The 21,368-nt window shown below is 39.1% G+C and overlaps 1 annotated feature.

The window, feature by feature from the left end:
• Positions 20,873-21,167: an enhancer, noted in NCBI's record as "tiled region #1936; K562 Activating non-DNase unmatched - State 10:DNaseD". NCBI's record gives its function as "activates a minimal TATA promoter and a strong SV40 promoter by Sharpr-MPRA in K562 cells {active_cell/tissue: K562}" and the evidence as "EXISTENCE:reporter gene assay evidence [ECO:0000049][PMID:27701403]".

Raw genomic sequence — 21,368 nt, forward strand, 5'->3', positions numbered from 1 at the left:
CATAAACAAGTAAAATCTTTCTTCAACTGGAGATCTTTATTTTCTCCCTTGGGGTCAAATTTCTCTCACCTTTTTATAGGATTTTGAGGTAATTTCAATTATCAGTACACTCTATGATGTGATTAAGCTTAATAGATAACAATAGTATATCTATCTGATAGCTAGAATTATATTTTATTATATCAAAATTATTGTTGATATATTACTGTAATTATGATTAGTATTAGTCCAAGCCTCCATGGTAAGAAATGAATAATTTCAAATGTACTAATGTGGATATTTTATAATTAATTACTCAATTAAAATAGAAACAGGTTTTCCATATTTATTTTGAAAGTATAAGCAATATAAAATAATTTATAATTTCCATTCATTTAATTTGTGCTCTCCTCCAAAATTTATAACTATCAAGTAAATACCTTTTACAAAAAGAACACACATGCAAACTGGGCACCTCCCAGATGTTAGATATTTTGCAAGTATTGTTTTTAATAAATGTAAAGTGTGCAGGTTTTTACAGATGAGTAAACTGAGGCTTAGAAAGGTGGACAACTGCTAAGAGAGAAGCCGGGATTCCAAGCACAGTCATTGCTCAGTATCCTGGGGATTGGCTTCAGGATGCCAAGTTCACAGATGCTGAGTCCCTTACGTAAAATGGCATAGTATTTACACAAAGCTATGCACTTCCTCTACATATTTTAAACAATCTCCAGATTACTTGTGAGACTTAATGCAATGTAGTGCTAGGTAAATAGTTGTTATGCTGTATTTTTTTTACTTGCATTATTTTTTATTGCTGTATTGTTATTTTTCTTGTTGTTGTTCTAACATTTTTTATCTACACTTGGTGGAATCCATGGATGGGGAACCCATGGACTTGGAGGGCTGATGATATTTCCAATACTTTCTGTCCTACTGGACCTCCTCAGTAGGAGTCCCTCAAGTGATAAGTTGCTGTATGAACGGAAAAAACCACAGTAACTGCAGCAGAGTCATGATGGCTAATATTTTAGAATTTAACTTAATGATATTATTTTATTTTATAATTACATCAAAATTATGTTATTCCTATTTACATTGTGCCTATAGACTTGAAGACAGTGAGTGTGTTCAGTTGTAGAGTTCTCTCCTTCTATTGATGAGTATATATTTGATCAGTTTTGCTGAGAAATTACTAGATAAAACATCACTCCACAGGGATCAACATTATAAAATCTCATAAGCAGTAACCTTGTCTCCATATACCAATTGTCAGAATCCCACAGCCAACCCAGAGATCTGTCATCAGTATCTGTGTATCCACAAGTATCCATATATGTAGCCTCCCGGTGGCATTTTCTTGAGGGTGTTCCTTCTGCTTCAACTAAGTCTCACCTGAGTTTCCAGGTCTCCTGTGGGTCCATCATATCACACCTCTTGGTCAGTTCTCCTCCCTGCAGGTTTCTATAGATAATGGATAAAGGGCCTGTATTCATTATCCCTGAGCCCTCACCCCTCAAACCTACAGGACTTTCAAAATCACCAATGTTTCTTTTTTTTCTTAGTCCTATATATAAATCTAAAATAAATCAATATATACTCATTATTCTCGTGAAAAAAACGTGCAGAATGGTAATTTTTAAAAGATATCTTGCCTTATTGTCCATCCATGGAGATCAACCCTGTTAACAGCTTGTGGTAACTATCCTTACGTTGGCATGACCAAGAGGTTGTACAAACACAATAGCACACAGAGAAGATTAGTCTGTAGAGAAAAGATGTAATTCCAAACTCATTAGACTGTGGTTAAGTGTTCTTACTTAGCTGCTCTGTGAGTGAGTGAGTGTCTCACATCCATGGGCATTTCTCCAGGCCATAACTAAAACTCATTCCTGTTAAGAGTTGTACAATATTTCAATGTATGGACAAATACAATTTAGTCACTCAACAGCTTATCATAGATATTTCTATTGACTCTGATTCACTTTTAACCTCAAAACATGCCACAATATTCTTGTTCAAGTATCCTTATATCTTACTGCTTTTTATATTTTAATATTTAATGTTCCCAAAAGAAACACTCCTAGAAGAAAAGGCATGCACAGCTTTATTTAAATACTTATAATTTAAACCAAGAATTTAAATTGCTGTTACCTCTAGGAGACTCATTTATTTCTAGGCACTGTCATGCATACTGGGCATTATTATGCTTTTAATTTTTTTCTAAACTGATGGGGTTAAAAATGTTGTGCATTATTAACTCAACATGCATTTCTCTGACAATGGAGTTCAACATCTTTTTATATGTCTATTATAACTTTTCAAATTGCCTTTTCTATGGATTGAGTCTTTACTAAATCATGCTTGTTTGCCTTTCTATCAATTTATAGAATCCTAGTGATGTACACACTTTATTTGTATATGTTGCAAATATTTTTCCAGTACATTGCTTATCTGTGACTGTTTTTGTTATCATTTGACATTTAAAAAAATGTATTCAGATAGGTCTTTTATTAGCCTATTTCATAGACTCTTTGCTTTTCAATAATACAAATTTATCCCGAAGATTTTCAAATTTTTCATGTTTTTAGAGATTTTTTTAACATTTTATTATGTATATGGAATAAGCAGGAGTTTAGTGTTGTTTTCTTTTAGATGAATAGCTAATTATGCCAATACCACTCATTAAGCAATCCATGCTCCCCTCCTGAATTGAAATATCCCTTTTGTAGTATATTGTTTCTATATACACTCAATTTTATATAGACTTCCTATTACAATCTGTCATGTGAATGTCTTACTTCATTTCATATTAATGGCCTCATTTTTAAATAGGTTAAGACAAGTGCCTGTTCCCTATACTGATATTTAGAATTATACTGCCCATTCTAAAACATTTGCTTTCCCATATTATTTCAGTCAGATTAAACTAGGCAAAAATGAACCAATTAACCTTCAAGTTCTAATGCTTAATTAAACACAAGTGTATATTTTGCTCTTCCAAACTCCCACAAGGGAGTGGATTATTGCAGATCTCCTCCAACTGATGACCCAGGGATTGAGATCCCCCAACATGTGGCACCACCACTTCAAAATGCAGCTTTTGAGATAGTCTTGGCAAAAGGAAAGTGCATAGAAAAATTACCTCACTCTTAAATACAGTTTATTGGCTAAAACTGGTCATGTAGCCTCAATCTAAGAATAGAGCTGATTTTAATATGTAGGTGAGAATGTGAAATATTGCTAGATAGGATTGTTTCTGCCTCATACCTGGCCTTTTACACCATTTTACTCAGGTCAAAATAAAGTTTCTTCTGATTGTGTCATGTGTATATTACTTGGGAATAATTAATATTCTTATAATATTAAACTTTTCTACTCAGGAGAATAATATTTGTAGCTGAATATTTATCTGATCTGTTTTATATTCTTCAATAAGATTTATAGTATAAATCTTTTATCTTTTTTATTAAGTTGTTATCTAAGTATTTTATAGTTCTAGCTACTTTTGAAACAGGTTAATTTGTTTGCATTTTCATTTCTAACTAATATGGAAAGTATAGAGAAAACTATGCTTTTGTATATTTAGCATATTTCCAGCCACCTTACCAAATTTTATTATAAACTGTGGTAATTTTTATTAGTTTCTAATTTTTTCTGCTTTTACAATAATATCATCCATAGAAAGAGTTAATGAATTTGTTATTCTCCAGTATATAAGCCAATTATTTTATATTTTATATAATATTTTTTAGATTATCTTAAAGAATTTTGTGTAATATTGATGTTACCTTTAGATACATCATCTCCAAGAAAAGTGTAGTAGAAAGCCTTGGATTCATCTCTATCTTGCACTCTCCCTCCAAGTCTATATGTAATCTATCAGAAATTTTTAATGATTCTATCCTTTTAATATTTTCCAATTTTTTCCCCCATTCTTCCTTCATACCACCACAGTCTTAGGTCATGATTTCATCATTCTAACTTGATTATTACATATCTTTTTCATTGCCCTCTCTAACGCTAATCTAGTCACCTCTGAAGTTGTATTTTTATTCAAAATCTAATAATGACTCTCATTTTAGAAAAACATTCTATGGCTCCTCATTTTCATTCATTGTTCATTGCTTTTCACAATCTCGTACTTGTCTGTTTTTGTGGTCATTCTACATTCTAAGCTACAGCATGCCACTGTGGGCATGTTCTTCCTTCAGCACAGAAAGATCTCCCATTCTGGCTACATGGATACGTCCTTTTATGTCATCACACTGATTTTTTCTTGCTTAAATCATGACTTGTTAACTGAAGTTAGACTTTTCTGACACTAGTACAAAACCCACCATGTTGTCACTGTCCCTTTCCATTCCAGTCATTGGAATAATAAGAAGTACAGAGGATGTTAATGCATCTGCACAACACCTGGTTGATGCTTTTATGAACTTCTAAATTATTACTACTTGATGCAACAGGTATGTTTCTACATATATGAAGAGATTGAAGTAACTGCTGAACTGAAAGAGGTCAAGAAAATGTTATATTCTGTCATTAAAGGAGCAAGACTATGTGACAGATTAGTAGAGTAAATTATTCTTTGTTAACTAGTTCTTAAATTTTGTTGTATTTTATTTCCATTTTTAAAGGAGATAGTAATGAAACAATTCATAGACTTAATATTCTTACCAAACAAAGAGAAAGAAAAGCCTAGTAGACTCAGCCAAGTTTGCAAAGCAGATATTGTTCATTCTGCACCATTCAATTTTTCAGACATACCCTGTCTTGTGCTTCCCCCAGTCTCCTTTTGTTCTCTTTGTTTGCAGTTTTCAGCAAATACTTTAATATGACTATGATTCTTTTTTAAAAAAAATACGGTTATCTTCTCCAGTTTTTAATATATTAAGCCTCTGTGAGAATTCAAGTTAAGGGATGTCTTTCAGGAATTCACTGCATAAGAACCATAAACTTTAAAGGTATTGCACACGTAAACTGACCCTTATTCTGATCTTAAGGAGGAACCACCAAGAATGGGTCTCTTAACTAACTACTAGAGTAAAGAAAGCAATGATACAAGTTATCAGTAATCATTTACTATTTGTTTATCAAACTTCAAAGTTTCAGAGATTCTCTCCTTTAAAAAAAACTTTAGTCAGGCTCCTCTGAGTCCTTTGTTTCACTAAGCTCATACTTAAGCTTCTCTTCTTGTTTCTGCAGAACTCAATTTGAGCAAGAATCCTGCACAATTGGTTAAGGGAAAATTCCTACCCTTGATATCTGACCACATTTGACATCTGATCACCCTGGCCTGCCTTCAGCAATGATCCTATCAAGTCAGTTTAGCTAGAATCCCCTTATCCCGGATGTTTCTTTCAGTAATTTTCCATGCACTGACCCCCACCCTGATCCTTGGTTATAACCCTCGACTTCTTCTCGTTGGCATTGGATTTGAGTCCAATCTCTCTCCCCCACTGCAAGACCCCAGTGGTTCCTACATCAATCAACATGACCGAATTTAAATAAAGTCTGCCTTCCCATCTTTAGCAAGTACCATGAATAATTTTTTCTCTAACAAAGGTCAAAGGAAAGCATGGATTTCTGGAGAGCTGTCCCTTTTTTCCTCCTTAGTAGCTTTACCTTTAGATCCTTTGATAATAGCTGTCTTGAAACCAGTTTGCAAGACTTTCCCCTGCCCTACTTCCTTCTGTTCTCCTCTTCTCTTTCCCTCCTGTTTTCCTTCATGATGCTCCTGTGTTTTCACAAAATCACCAGAAGATGAGCAGAATCACAAGCATGATGAAGAATGGGAGCTCACGTTGGGGAAGCAAGTCAATGAAGCCATGCCTTTGTTTCCACAGCACAGCAACAGACTCCTCGTGTAAGATGAGTATGTAACCCTCTGCCACAAGGCATGATCACCTGTTTTAACTGGGAGGTCAAGTTCACCAGAAGCCCCACTAACTTAAGTACAATACTTGATAACTATAACTTCACTTTCATAGCCTCGGTGTTCCTTGTATCCTCCTCTGAAAGAAACATGTCACTCAACAGGGAGATCTGACTTAAGACATGTTTGGCTCCTCACTGTAACTTTGGTAAAGTTATCTAGCTTTTAAAAATCAATTTGCATAGTTTTTCACTGCTTGCTAGATGAACAATTAGAGGCATGCTATGCCTCTACCGATGCTATTTTTATTTAAAACAGGGATATTTTGTTCATCATGGATTTGGTTGTGCTAATTTGACTTTTTAAAATGTTGCACCAAAATTTTATTTACCTTGATTACTGATTTTGGTCCCTCCTTAAAATTTCCCCATGACTAGTGCCTCATACACCTCACCCCAATCCCAGCCCTCAGCCCGCAAATAATATCGAGAGACACTAAATTAAAAATACCTTTAATTTACATCAGATAAAAGAAAAACAGAACTGGATAGGTAAGCCATGTTGTTCCAAACCCAGGCTAAAACACCAACATAATATTTTAAATGAACAAACAACTTCCTGAGCAAGTATTTCTTGTCAGATGTGATTGAAAAACATCAGCAGTATTAAAACTGTGATATAGTTTTTTAAAGATCTCACAAAATGTTTGGGTACTCACTGGTGAGGAGACAACACAAATGAACTTCAGTGGTGAATGACATGGAGCTCATATTTTGTTCTGGAAAACAAATTATTACAGGAGGGCCGCTTGAAATTGTAAGGAGCAGAATACAAACATACTTCTCTTTGTGCAATGAAAATGTTTCCGAACAGGGAAGTGTAGTTTAAATTATATTCAATATAGACACTGTGAAAAAAATACATTTAAGACTAGTTTATAGAGAAAATTATTTAGTCATCTTAGTGTACTAAAATATTAAAGTTTGGGTTTTGAGGTTTTCTTGTACTGAAAGAAATCTTAGGGAGCATTTAGTACCAACCTTTTATAGATGAGAAAACTGAGGCTAAAAAGAAAAGAGCAATTTCCATTTTGTTGGATCCCCTTAAATCTTATGAAACAATCCTAATGTATTTGCTGAGAACCTAAATATCCAGTGTTTTATGCCTTAAATAGTGAAATCCTATACAGTCTAGTTGCTAAGTTTAAAGCTAACAAGTATTTTTCTTTTTGCAGTAACTTTTCCCCTACTTGAAAAATTGGGATGCCGATTTTTCTCCCTTAATGTCACCTCAGTCACGATAAGCACCTTAATCATATTGTGTTTATTTCTGTATTTGTTTGGCCTACTGAAGTATTAGGTAGCACACCACAGTGACACATTTATAACTGAAAGATGGAGAAAATCTAACTCGTTATTGGTCATTTAAACTTGGTCTCTAGATTGGCAATTTAATCACAGAAATTAACAATTAATGGACTAGAAGTGGAAAAACAGATGTCATAAGGTCAGCTGTCCTGAAGCCCTTTTTTTTTTTTTTTTTTTTTTTTTTTGAGATGGAGTCTAGCTCTGTTGCCCAGGCTGGAGTGCAGCAGTGCAATCTCAGCTCACTGCAACCTTCACCTACTGGATTCAAGCTATTCTCCTGCCTCTGCCTCCCAAGTAACTGGGATTACAGGCATGCACCACTCTGCCAAGCTAATTTTTTTTTATTTTTGGTAGAGACATGGTTTCACCATGTTGGCCAGGCTGGTCTTGAACTCCTGAAGTCAAGTGATTCGCCCGCCTCAGCCTCCCAAAGTATTGGGATTACAGGTATGGGCCACCACACCTGGCTGCTCACTCTATTACTTAATTTCTTCTTTCTCTAAAGTTCTTGTGAGCTGTTTGTTGATGCACACGTTTCAATATTCCTATTTTTAACATTTCAGAATTGTTTCTTCACCAGTGTAAGTCTGTTGTGTGCACACGGATATGCAAGCCTGAAGAGAATATCGAATGCAGATTTTGTAGAGATATCTATTAACATAAAATATTCTTGCTCCAAATTGTCCAAATAAAAGCTTATTTAATGCTGCTGCAAACATGCAGAGCTTCGTCACATAGACTAGCATAAGGTTGCACAGGTTGTAAGCTCCATGAAGGTAACAGTTTAGATCTTTTTTGTTTAGCGCTTTTTCTACAGAACCTTAGAAAAATCACTTTCCCATAACAATCACTCAATCAACATTAAATGATGAATAAATGAGGGTACAAATGAATCAATGAATGCTGCTAAAATTTCTTATTTCTGTCATTTAATGGGAGCACTCTAGTAATTTATAAATTTAACAATTAGTACACGTTGATAATATATTGTCATTTCATGTTTTGTTTTTCATGGAGTTTAAGAATACAGAGCACTTTAACTTTGCGTTCAGCTAGATTGATGTTAGTAAAGAACAGTAAAAATATAATTAATATAAGGATTTATTGGAGGAAAAAAATAGACAATCAAACACTTTTCCATATACTAAACTTTGCTATTTCTCTAAGGTTTATAATTATAAATAAATCCAAATACCACAGATTTCAATAATTTCTTTTTCATCTGCTCTTTTCAAATTCTGGAAGAATATTTTTTAAATGTGGAGATAGAGTACAAACTGAAAGGAAGTGAATGGGAAGTGCTGTTTTCAGCCTCCTTGGTCCCTGGGTGTGAGTTTACCATCCTGGGTGGGTCAGAATTCCCCAGGTCGGCTGCTTCACTCCTACCTCCTCCTCTGGGCAGCTGTCCAGGTGTTAGCAGGGCAGGGAGGCCTCTCACAAGCCAGCGGCCCCACTGTTCACATCCCAGGCCAACCTCCCATGCCCAGGGCACACTTCATCCCAGAAACGAGGCCAGTGAGAAGGTGGACTTGACACCATGGACATGCAGGCCTAGGTTTGGCATTGCCGTGAGTCTCAGGAGTCCTGGGAGCCGCTCCCGGACTGCAGGTCCCCAACTGCTCAGCACAAAGTTTCCCTTTCACCTCTCAACGCTTCGCTCTGATTTAAGGAGGCTCCGGCAAACTCAATAATCAAGGTAATTAATAATTCAATGCAATATTCTAAAGACATCACAATTACTGCCCCCTCCCAAAAAAAAAATCCATGCTGAAGGAAGCATCAGAATTTAAATAAAGACAGGATGAGTGGAAGCACGTGCTGCCTCTGACGTTTCCTCCAGCAAGTGGTGGAGAACTCTGCAAGTTTATTCAAAACACTAGATAATTGGACCAAAGTCAGAACGATGGGCAGAATATATCCCACGTCAGACATCCCAGCTGGATTAGATCTCCCTGCCGAGGAGGAGGAAAGGGAGGCTGAAAATAGGCAAGAAAGCAACAAAGAGGCGTATATAAGTCAGTGGCTCTTCTGGCAAGGCTGACCTCCCAGGATTTAAACAGGGTGATCACCCATTTTTGGGGAAAGACTTTATACTCACCCTTGCGAGGTGCTTGGGCAGGGCTTCCAGGACCCTCCCGTGCCGAGAAGCCAACCCAGCTCTGGGGCTAATTCCTTGGCACCCATTAGCATGTGCCACCCATGCTCTTTCATTCCCTTTCTCTGTTTCCTCGGTTTCTGCACAAGTTTTTATGATTTGTAAATTCGCCGAGTTTCCTAAATGCATTGACTTTGTGCATTCTCATTCTCCAACTCTAAGTCCCTCCCAGTAAAATAGTTTCCTCTTCAGATCAGAATGTTCCCATCTTGGGCATATATTTATTTTAAAATAATGCACGTGTTATTTTTAGCTTAATAAAATTAAGTAAAAGTCCACCATCTGTGGGGACAAGTCTTGAACTTATTTAAATATATTGGTAAAAAAAAAAAGTAGTCTGAATTAGTTCAACCGTTGTGGAAAGCAGTTCAAAGGCCTAAAAACAGAAATACCATTCGACCCACCAATCCCATTGCTGGGTACAAACCCAGAGGAATATAAATCATTCTACCATGAAGACACATGCACGCATATGTTCATTGCAGCACTATTCACAGCAGCAAAGACATGAAATCAACCTAAACGCTCATTAATAATAGATTGGATAAAGAAAATATGGTGCATATACACCATGGAATACTATGCAGCTGTAAAAAGGAATGCGATCATGTAATTTGAAGAAATATGGATGGAGCTGGCGGCCATTATTCTTAACAAACTAACGCAGGAACAAAAAACTAAATACCTCATGTTCTCACTTATAAGTGGGGGCCAAATGATGAGAACAAAAGGACACAAAGAAGGGAGCAACACACACTAAGGCCTCTTTGAGAGTGGAAGGCGGAGGAAGGAGAGGAGCAGAAAAAACGTAACTATTGGGTACTAGGCTTAATATTTGGGTGATGAAATAATCTGTACAACAAACCCTCAAGACACGAGTTTACCTGTATAAGAAACCTGTACATGTACCCCGAACCTAAAATACAAGTTAAAAAAAGTAGTCTGTATAATATTTATTTAAAACGAGAATTTAAAATGTTAATTTTGCCTATAGAATAAATGTATTACAGCACAACCCATCATTATGTGACTTTTGATCAACAAGGAGTCAAATGGAGTAACTTTAAACCTAACAGCGGCATATAGTGAAACCCACAGAAAACCCACCTAGCCTGTGGGCAGTTGCTCCTGATCCTGAACGTCAGCGTTCGAAGCAGAACTGCTGTGCATGGTTTCTGTGTGACTTCTGACATATAATGAACACTCATGGTTACTGCCCAACTCAGAAGATAATTTGTCCTTCTGTGCACACCGGTGGCCTTGTGAAAAGGTGAACCATGTTAAACAAAAGGATTTCTGGTGCCTGTTGAGTGTGCTGGCCAGGGCAGAGGAGGGTGTCCAAGGAAAGAGAATGTGTATGTGTTGTGGAGATTCTGCACACTTGTATGTTTTAGGTACTTGTTTTCTTACAAATGTATTAAACAAAATAAAACCTCACTAAAATGCCCACACGTTGGCCCAGCAAGTTTCTGGGTTCTTCTAGAACATTCTGCAGGCTTCTGGCATCTTCATTGGCCACCAGATAGGGCCTTTCTGTCTCCTGACTCTTCAGGGCCCGGGCCAGCCTCCCTCCCTTCCTGCACGGAAGGCTGCTGTCTGCAGGGGCCTCCTCTGTAAAAGCCCCAAACACAGAAACCTGGTTTTCCTCACTGGGAAACTCATGGTGACCCTGCCAGGATCTGCCCCGTGGCTCCAGGGAACCTTGCTCTTGACGTACAAAGTTGGGGGCTTAGCCCACTAAGTCGTTCCCTCTAGCTATTTCAAGTCAGTACTAAGCACATTAAGCAAATTACAACCCTGGGGGAAGCTGGAAAGAGAAAGAAGCAGCATCAATCTTCCCGACAACTTAGGTCTTACAAAGAAAAAGAAAAAAAATACTTTGTCCAAGCAGTCCAGTCTGCACAAACCTTTTCCGTTCTAAGCCCCAAGCCTGGCAATTGAAATTGCAAATGTGTGAGGCTCTAGGCATCAAACAGCCTGCCAGCCCTGCAAGTGCGGTGCAGCCCTCCTGGCTTTGAGTATCCTCGGGCCCTAGTATTATAGAAATGATTTATGACAACTGCTTCTTGTGGGCCCGTCTATCCCTTTTGGGGTCTTTCTTACCTCATTGCAACTCCACTATGATCCTGTGATGCTGGCATTCTGCAGGTGGTGACACCCAGCAAGGGTCAGTGCAGGCCTGCCAGGAGGCGGAGCCCGTGACCTGTCCCAGTGCCTGTGAGCCTCATGTTCTCACTGCACAGAAGGCAGGGAGGTTTAGTTCCTGGCTGGGCTTCTCTGCTTTCCCTCAGCTGAGCAGAAGCCCCCCAAACTCCAAATCAGTCTTCCTCGAATGGAATCTGCACTTTCCGATCTAAATAATACTAAGGCATGTGATTCCCAACACCGTCTGCTTGTCAACTCTTCTCTGCAATGGCCCTCCTGGACCTGGGTCTCCCAGTTCCCATGGGCTGTTCTGCATGGACCATGGGTGGACTTAGGGACACTGAGGTCCCCGTGCCTCTTAAAGGGGCAGGCAGAGCTGCCTGGTCACTGACCCCAGGAGTTACTGAGCTGGCCTCTATTAGAGTCCTGGGGATTCTGTTAAAAATGCCCACAGACTGGGGGCCCAAAACAACCGGCATTTGTTCTTTCGCAGTTCTGGAAGCCAGAAGTCTAAAGGTGAGGGTAGGGCCATGGTCCCTCTGAAGACTCCAGGGACGGCTCCTTCCTTCCTTCTTCCAGCCCTTGGTGGTTGCTAGAAATCTTGGCTTATGGACATGCACTCCCACCTCTGCTGCTGTCTTCACGTGGTCTTCTCCTCTCTGTGTCTACCTCCATGCCCTCATGTTGTCACATGACTTTTTTAGAAGCCACTTGGCACTGGATTTAGGGCCCACCTAATCAGACCTGACCTCATTTAACGAATTCCAGCTGTAATGACTGTATTTCCAATTAAGGCTGTATTCTGAGGCTGCAGATGGAGGTGAATTTGAGGGTGATGGTACATTATTCCACCCAGCACCTTGCCTTGGCTTGGAGATGAGAATTAAATGTGCAGGTCACTTTCAAACCAGGTTGTGGCAGTCAAGAAAATGGATTGAATTGTCACCAGTAGAAGATGAGAGATGATAAAATGTACAGAGATCGCCCATTATATTGAGCTTTTAAATATTTACTTGGTTATCATTGTTGCTTTTTATAAACTCACATTTCCATAATTAAATTAAACATTTCGATATGCAAGTGTTTGCTGTATAGAGAGCATAATTTTTTCTTATTTTATTTTTTGAAAGAAAATGTTTGTTTGCAGTAAACAGACTAGGAAGAGAAATAAGAAAGAGAGAGGTGTTGGGACCAAGGCTTAAGAACTTCACTTTTCTGGCTGTCAAGCCTTCCCCGAAGATCCATTTATTCTCCTTAGAACTTCAGAGATCCAAATGGAAGCCTATTACTCAAAAAAAAAAAAAAAAAAAGGCGGGGGTGCTCCCAGGAACACTGCTATTCTCCTGCTCTGAAGCAAGTCCAAAGAACTCAGGTGGGGACAGAAGAAATCCCACCTTCCTTCCACTGCCCAGACCCCTCCCACAGCGATCTCTGAGCTTTGAGATCCTTTCAAGCATCTTGCAGAATCACAGTGATCCATCCAAGTGATGCAATTCCTCCTCCGTTTAGTGGATTCCTATTGCTCACCTCCCACGCAAGAAATGAAATGGGCTGGAGATCTGGCCAACAATGATGCATCCGGAACAAGTGTTAGAATATAGGCCTGGGAACCTGGACAGACACAGCCAGTGGTTTTTGCTGGAGAATAAGTCAGCTGAATAGTTTCCCTTGACCCACAGGTCAATCCTCCTGACCAGAGGCCAGTCCTGATTTTGTAAGGCCTAAGTTTGAGACAAGTTGGGGGATCCTTCCCACATGAAAAAAACAATACAAAGTTGACTTCCTTTTGTACATGTTACAAGAAACATGTGAACACTGGAATGCATTGCGAGGATTTCCAGGGCCTGGGGAGGATCCCGTGCTGGTGAGAGGTTCTGTTGATTCCTGGAAAGTATGTCTGGGGGCCTGGCCCAGAGCATTGCCCTTGAATTACTCTTCACAGGCCCTCTTGACTTCAGACACGCCTCCCTTGGGATTCCCAGACAGCTGTCCTGACCCTTCAACCAAACAGGGAAGCATTCAGATTGCCTCCAGTCTCCATCCAGACAACATCATTTTCCAAGGACTTGGAATTGAAAGTTGCCATCTAGGCACCTGAGTAACTTGTGAGGCTTTGTCTTGTTTATTGTTTGCCTCCGAGAAAAACAAGAGGATAACTGCAAGTAACAGTGACAACCAATACTGAACCAAAGGCAGTGGGGGAAAAGACGGGTGGAAGCCATTCTCTGCAGAATACAACCAGGATAAAGTCAGTGCAGGGTGAGAAAATCCTAAGCAAAAATGGTAGCAGGACAATGAGAAGGTGGTCCTTGGAGCCATAGAACATAGAACCCCCAGGAAGCAAAGGAAAGGAGCAATGACAGGAAGCGAATCACCCCAGCCCAGCAGTGTCTGCAGGTCCTAAAGCTGTTGTGACAGCAGGGCCCCAGGATCTCAGAAGAGGAGTTGCACAATAGTCTGAGGATAAGAAAGCAATCTTCGCTGGTTATATTCAGGTGAGGACAACAGAGAAGGTTCATGGAGCCCTTGGTGGCCCAGGAGCAACCAGAGTCCATGATCAATCGGCAGCGAAGGAACCCAGCAAACTTAGAACTCTGATCTCTGCGTGTGTAGGGGAGCAAAGGACCCTGGTACTAGGGAAGGGTTGTTTCTCTAGATACTGTGCTTCAAAGCAACAGTAGACTCAACTATCCTCGTTTCCTTCAGGGACTTTGATGGGTCTTCTATGCATTAATGTAGGTCTTTGATCCCAATCTGTAGATCTTTCTGTTTACATCTCCCTTGAAAGAATGAGCATTAAAATTTGCTGCCTGTTGGATAATTCCTTTGAGTAGGTTTACATTTTCCTGACCCAGGGTTCAAGTGTGCTCTTTTCACCAGAGAATTAACAAACGATCATGTCCATGAGCTGCCTGCCCTTCCTTCATCCTTCCTTCCTTTCCGCCTTCTCACCTTGCTTTTTTACTTCTTTCCTTCTACTTTGCCTCCCTTCGTTCAGTAGATAGATATTGAGTAACTACTTGGGACTCAGTGTTGTTCAAATTACTTTGAATTGCTGTCTTATTGTTTATATTTACTCTGTTACTTACCTTATGTCTTTTATGAAGTGAGTTCCATTAGATCTTGACCAAATCCCTAAACCCCAGTTACTTATTAGTTGGCTGTTAGACAATGCATATCAATGGAACAGCGCTATAAAGTGTCATTAAAGTGAACCTGCTGGCTGAGAAACTCACTTCTAAAACATGTTGGACACACCTTCTGTTCTGATACTTGTACCTGCAGAAGCATCAATATCCCAGGGAACACTGAGTGGTGGCTGGGGTCCCAGGCGCCATGAACAAGTGTGATGGTTCATTTTAGGTATCAATTTGAGTGAGCCATAAGGTGCCCAGATATTTGGTTAATCATTATTTCTAGGTGTGCCTGGGAGGTTGTTTCTGGATGATATTAACATTTGGATAGATAGACTGAGTTAAACAGGTTGCCCTCCCCAATATGGATAAGCTTCCTCCAAGCCATTCAGGTCCTGAATAGAAGAAAATAATTTGTTTTGTCTGACTATCTGACTACCTTTGAGCTGGGGCATCAGTTTTATCCTGCCTTGGGCTTGAACTCAGCCTGGAACCATTGGCTCTCCTGGTTCTCAGGTCTTCAGACTTGGACAGGACCAGACCATCTGCTCTTCAAGGTCCTTGGCTTGCCAGGCAGAGCTTGGAGCATCTCAATGTCCATAAGTATGTGAACCAATTCCTTACAATAAATCTCTTTCCAATCAGTTCTTTTTCTCTGGGGAACCCTGACTATTACACTCAGGATGTCAATAAATAAATAAATAAATAAATAAATAAATAAATAAATAAATACTCATTGCCATTTATCACTGGGCAAATGAAAATGGACCCTTTTTATTTTATTTCACATTTTCAGTCATTTTACAAATCATTTACAATTATATGAGTAAAGGGATACTACTTTAAAAAAAAAAAAAACTTTAGAAGAATTTTAACATGGCAAACCCAAATTTTTATTTCATGTTTTCCAGGCTTTAAGTTCTATGTATGTGAAATGGGCAAAGTTCTCTGAATATACTATCTGCTCATAAACCTTCTTGTGTAAATCTGGAATGCAACTTCCTTGTAAAAACTGATTTCAGATTTCAGGTTCCAAACATTTTGGGATAATTTTTAGCTTCTCTTTATTTCGAGTTTTTCTTTTTTCACTTGCATCATCAAAGCACAATACTTAATAATTCTTTGACAGTTCATAACTTTTTTGAAAAGAGAGTACAGCTTTCTTATTTGCTCCATAATTAAAAATAATTTTCATTCTTAGTTTTATTATCAATAATTAGAAAAATAAACCCTTTTTTATTTTTACATAATCTGTTTTCTTCTGATCACTTTGTATGCTTAGCTACATTTTGTCCACTTAGAAATCATAGTAAATAGATTTTGGTGCACAAACATCATAGAAGTTGAAAGAATACTGTCACCTTTCTGTTTGGCAAAACAAGAAGTTATACGTTCTTGCCCCAGTCAATTGTGGGATGGAGTCCTTCCTATTGAATGACTAAGTGGGTGAGAGTACCATATTTCCTTCTTGTCTGTAGAAATATGTTGCTGATGTAAACATTCTTGAGTTTGAAAAAATTCATCTAGAATATCTAAAGACCACAGTCTGAGATTTCACTTATAACATCAATTTCATGATCATCATCAGAATCTAGACAGTTGATACATGTGTCTTTGTATTAACCTTCTGATTTGTCTAAGGATTGTAAAAATATCCTCCATGTTCTTTTCTTTTCTCTCTACTCTTATAGGCAGAATCTGAAAAGTTCTAAATTTTCAAATATGTTCAATAAAACTAAAAATAATCTACAAAGAATGTGCCCCAAGTCATTTTAACATCTTCGAAAAAGGAGATTTAATATTTTGGGCAACATAAAAAGAAAACCAAAGGATAATGAAACAATAACTATTTATTTCATTATTTTTTATCCTTCCATGTGATTGTATCATTCTTTTATTCTTATTCTCTTAGTGTTTGTTTTTTTAAAGCACATTTGAACATAACTAGTGAGTAATGATAAAATAGTTCCTAGACTGATAAAATAGTTAAATTCTTCAAGATACAAGAAAAAAAAAATCACAATCCTTTTATCTTAGATTTCAGAAAAGGACCCAAAGGACCCATATGTTAATTACACAGAAAACAGAATTTTATTCCATTCAAAATAACATTAAATAATGTTATATAAGAGGAAATAATTTTTTAAATAAGTAAATTTTATTTCTTCTTTGGAAAACCCCTACTAAATAATAACAGCTATGAAATATTAATTCATACAAATGGTTAGAAATGCTCTAAGAAACCTCAACACTAAAAATGTTGTCGACTGGCCACTGACAGCACGCTGAGGGTTAGAAGTCCCACTTCCTGGCAAATTGTTTTCACTAAGACTCATGGTGATGTTTTCCACGTGAATGTTAACACGTGAAAATGTGATAATTCCCTAAAAGAACCAGACTGCCAACAATGTCATGAAAGCATAACAAATGAGCCCTGTACCCTCAAGTAAGATGCGTTCATCCCAGCAGGAAGCACCGTCAGCGGCACTTTGGCAGGTGCTGAGTGAGAGATGCTGTCCTGACACTTCCCGTGTCCAAGTGCTTTTCCTGAGGCTCCACCTCCACCTGCCTTTATCCGGAAGCCCATTCTCACTGCCCTGCAGGCAGGATGGCCACACCCATGCAGGGAACTGCAAATGAAGACCAGAAACATGTAACTTCCTAGGACATATTTGTCTCTAGTTTCCGTATAATTTAAATAAAACTAGATTTTGGCTCAAGTCTCATAGATTACTTAATTTGCACATTAATTGAATCGAGTGCAAGCATTTTGATTAAAATCTAAATTCCAAGACAAAAAATCCTTTATTCTATCTCTAAAGAAGTGAAGCAAGAAAAACAAGAGGCATCTCGCGGATACAAACTCGCTTCTTTGTTCCACTGAGCCCCAACGGGGATGCGTCGTTGCCGTGGATGCTGGCAGTCCAGTTGACGGGACAGGGAGCCAGGCAGTGCGGCACCTGCCCACAGCCTGGCGGGTTCCCAGGCTGCACACGGGAAAGGAGAAGAGGAGATTTTTTTCCAGGGGTAGCAGAAGACATGCAGTTTTACAGGTCTGGTACCTGCACACCAGACTACAGCTGTACACACTTGCTCTCATATGACAAATGTTTCACAGCTGTTTTATATACAGTTTGTTTGGGGCAAAAATCAATCAATCAATCAATCATGAGTATGACTTAGATTTGTCGAAGAGTTCTTCCAGACAGTCCGCCGGTCGCTATCAAACAGTTTGAATTTCACCTCATCCTGTGGAGGTGATGCCTCTGCGACAGCTTCTCCAAGAGAGTTAATTTGCCAGAATCGCTTTTATAAAGCAAAGAGGGAAGAGAACATAAAAGCACTAACCTGATGTTTTTACGAATGAGTTTAAATGAGCTTGTTTCAAAGAGTCATGTTTATCCACATACTGTCAGGCATTAAGGCCATCTTGCCAAACAGGCCATCTTTGGAAATTAGTGTTCTTGGAACAGATGACTTTAGAATCAGGGAGTCAGATTTTCTGGCAGTGACATGCTATGTAGGAGTGAGTATCATTACTCCTCAGGGCAAATGCAAAGAAAAGTGAGACCCGATCCATAGGTGTCCATGGCTGAGTTTCAAACACACTTGTACGAACCGTCCTTGAAGCAGCCCCTCCTGTGCATCATAGATCACCCCAAACATCCCAGGATAATATTTACACTAGAACAAATACTGGCTTTATGTAAAATAAAACTGTGTTGACATTTTGGGTAATTAAAAGATAAAACATGTAGGGTTTATTGAAGCAACAGGAAGAACTTTTTTTTTCTTTAAAGTATTGAATGTAAATCCAGTCCTTTCAAAATACAGGAGCATTGCAGCAGCTGCTTGGAATGCCATGGCGAAAGAGAAGGTTACCATGGTGGGGAAAACGTCTTTGTCAGGTCCACGGACTGTGCTTGTGGCAGGTGCACGTCCACAGACCTCACTGTCAACAAGAGCAAGCCACAAAAACCATCAGTTTGGTGCAATAAGTTGGGGATATAATTTCAAAATGAGAAGTAATGATACGATTTAGTTTTTGTGTAACTTATCTCTCCTCATAAGCATAGAAAAATTCATATTACATTTTCATATTTCATATTCATTTTCAATTAAAAAACTGTAGTTTATATACAGTTACCATTAATGTTTTTGATATTATAAACATTAAATAACAGTGGGAATATCGAACTTCTATTAAAACAAAGAGAACAGCCATGCACTTTCAGTTTTTGATGCTTACAGGTTTTTTATGAACTAGACATCGATAATAAACAGATAAAACAGACCTGTGTAAATAAGTAATTTATAATATTGTATAATAAAAATAATAAATACATGTTAAGTAGCTGGGCTAATCTTTCCATTTTTGAACATTTTAATTTCATATTTCAACAAAATAATATATGAGAATTTGAGATTTAAAATGGCCCATTTTATAAAATAAATTGTATTAATTTTACATATCTCTGTTGCTCTCTTCCTCACTGTCTATATGAATATCTGTAACTATATTTTTAGCTATATCTGATCTATACTTAAACCCATATATTTCTTACCATCCCTTTTGATTAGTCTATTAAAATGTTTCTATAGCTACTCAGAATTATTCCGTTAGCAGAAGCACCTGTCATTTTGCTCCTGGCAGTCACGAAGATCAAAATATATTTTGTGTGTGCCTTTTCCAAGGTTTCCAAAGAGCTGGATGAGGTTCCTAATGGAAATCAGTGTTTGCTCAGCTAAAACAAATACCTCTGGGCCTTCTCAGTGCCTGGCCTGGGCATGGTGCGGACATCCACAGATAAAATGAAACGTGGGACTGTTGGCTGAGTGCCTCAAGCATGATGCTATGCAAATAAGTCATCAGTTTTCTAACAGGTCTGAAACAAGCCATGTCCTGTGAACTGCCACCTACTTCATGAGGACGTGCCCTGGGAGGCTTTTCCTCTCTCGAGCCCTGCGGGGTTGCCAGACAACGTGCTGCCGCTCTGTAGTGGCTGCCGGTCTTCAGGCATCATTGTTGAACTTTCAGCAATCACCCATGTGCTCAAAAAGCCCCTTCGTTAAATCCACAAACCTGCCCTGAGAGCACGGCCTCATCTTATCTACACAGGTGCTCCTGGGTGGGTCACACTAGTCTCCCTCCAGGTACAGCCTTTTAAAAAGCTGGTTTTCAAGTGGATTCAGCCCGAGACAGGCAGAAGGAAAGAAGTATGGTTTGCAGTCCATATTCACATGCGGGGCGTGGTCAGCCATTACCCATAAAGGGCTTCCTTTCATTGAAACAACAAAGAGGACTTTTTAACATTTTAAACATGTTATATCTTAATAAAAATAATGAAATTCCTTTCATGTGAAGTTCAACCTTACGATGGGATGACTGTATCTTCTCAGATATTACTGACGTTGCCCCGGAAAGAAGAAATTTGGCCTGGAGACCCCAGCACCAACTCCTGCCTGAGTTTCCAGCCTGTGGATTTCAGACTTGTCAGTCCCACAACCAACCATGTGAGCCAATTCCTTCAAATAAATTTCTTTAAAAAAATACATACATATGTTTACGTGTGTGTGTGTTCATATATAACCTATGGGTTCTATTTCTCTGCAGAGATCCCACTCAAGTCAGACAGAAGAGACCAGGCAAAGAGCAGACGCTCCTCAATGTACTTGGAGGGGACCTCACCTGTTACATTGCAAAGTACACTCAGGGCCCTTGGACTTGGCTGCAGCCAATCAGGACTGCAGAGGAGAGGTGGAGAGGAGAGTGTCTGGAGGTGGAGGGCAGGTGTCTGGAAAGGAGAAGTGGAAGGCAGAGGATGTCTGCAGAGCAGAGGTGGAGAGGGGGTTGTCTGGAGGTGGAGGGCAGAGATTGGTCACCCTCCGTGTCCCCAGGGACCTTGGCTGTGTTGAGGTGCCCACCCTTTTGGCTTCCCCAGGCCACAATGGAAGATGAAAATTGCCTTGGGCCATACGTAAAATACACTAACACTAACGATAGCTGATGAGCTAAAAGAAAATCACAAAAAATATCTCATAATGTTTTAAGAAAATTTACGAATTGCTGTTGGGCTGCATTCAAAGCTGTCCTGAACTGCATGTGGCCCACAGGCTGTGGGTTGGACAAGCTTGTTTTATATCAAAGGCTCGAGATGACATAAGCTGAAGAGTAGGCGGAGAATGCAGCACCCTCTCCATGCTCACAGTCCTGCAGTGCCTCTCAGTCTCTCGTGGAAGTGTCTGGGCATCCCCCTCTCTTCCGTGGGGGATGCCTGAGTGATGCCTGCAGATAGAATGGACTGATGATTGACCCAACGACTAGAGGCTGTTTCCGGAAGTCCTTGACCGTGTGTGCTTTCCTGGGCACGTGGAACGGAGCTCTTCTGACTCAGGACTCCAAGAAGTGGGAGTCTCGTCTGAGCATCCAGGTGTGGCCTTCATATCTAGTTGGTCTTTCCAAGCCAAACACACCTGCCTCTGCAAGCCCAACCTGGTTTTATTTCAGAGAATTAAGAGAAACCCCCAAAAGATAGAAATGAGTCATTGATTATGGCCAAAAAGAAATCAGATGACTGTATTTGTTTCCTGTGGCTGATGTAAAAAAATTGCCACAAACTGGGTGACTTAAAAACAGAATTTATTCTCTCACAATTCTGGAGCCTAGAAGTACAAAATCAAGGCGTCAGTGGGACTAGCACTCTGATGGT

The sequence above is a fragment of the Homo sapiens genome, chromosome 5 (assembly GCF_000001405.40).
Source record: "Homo sapiens chromosome 5, GRCh38.p14 Primary Assembly".
Lineage (NCBI taxonomy): Eukaryota > Metazoa > Chordata > Mammalia > Primates > Hominidae > Homo > Homo sapiens.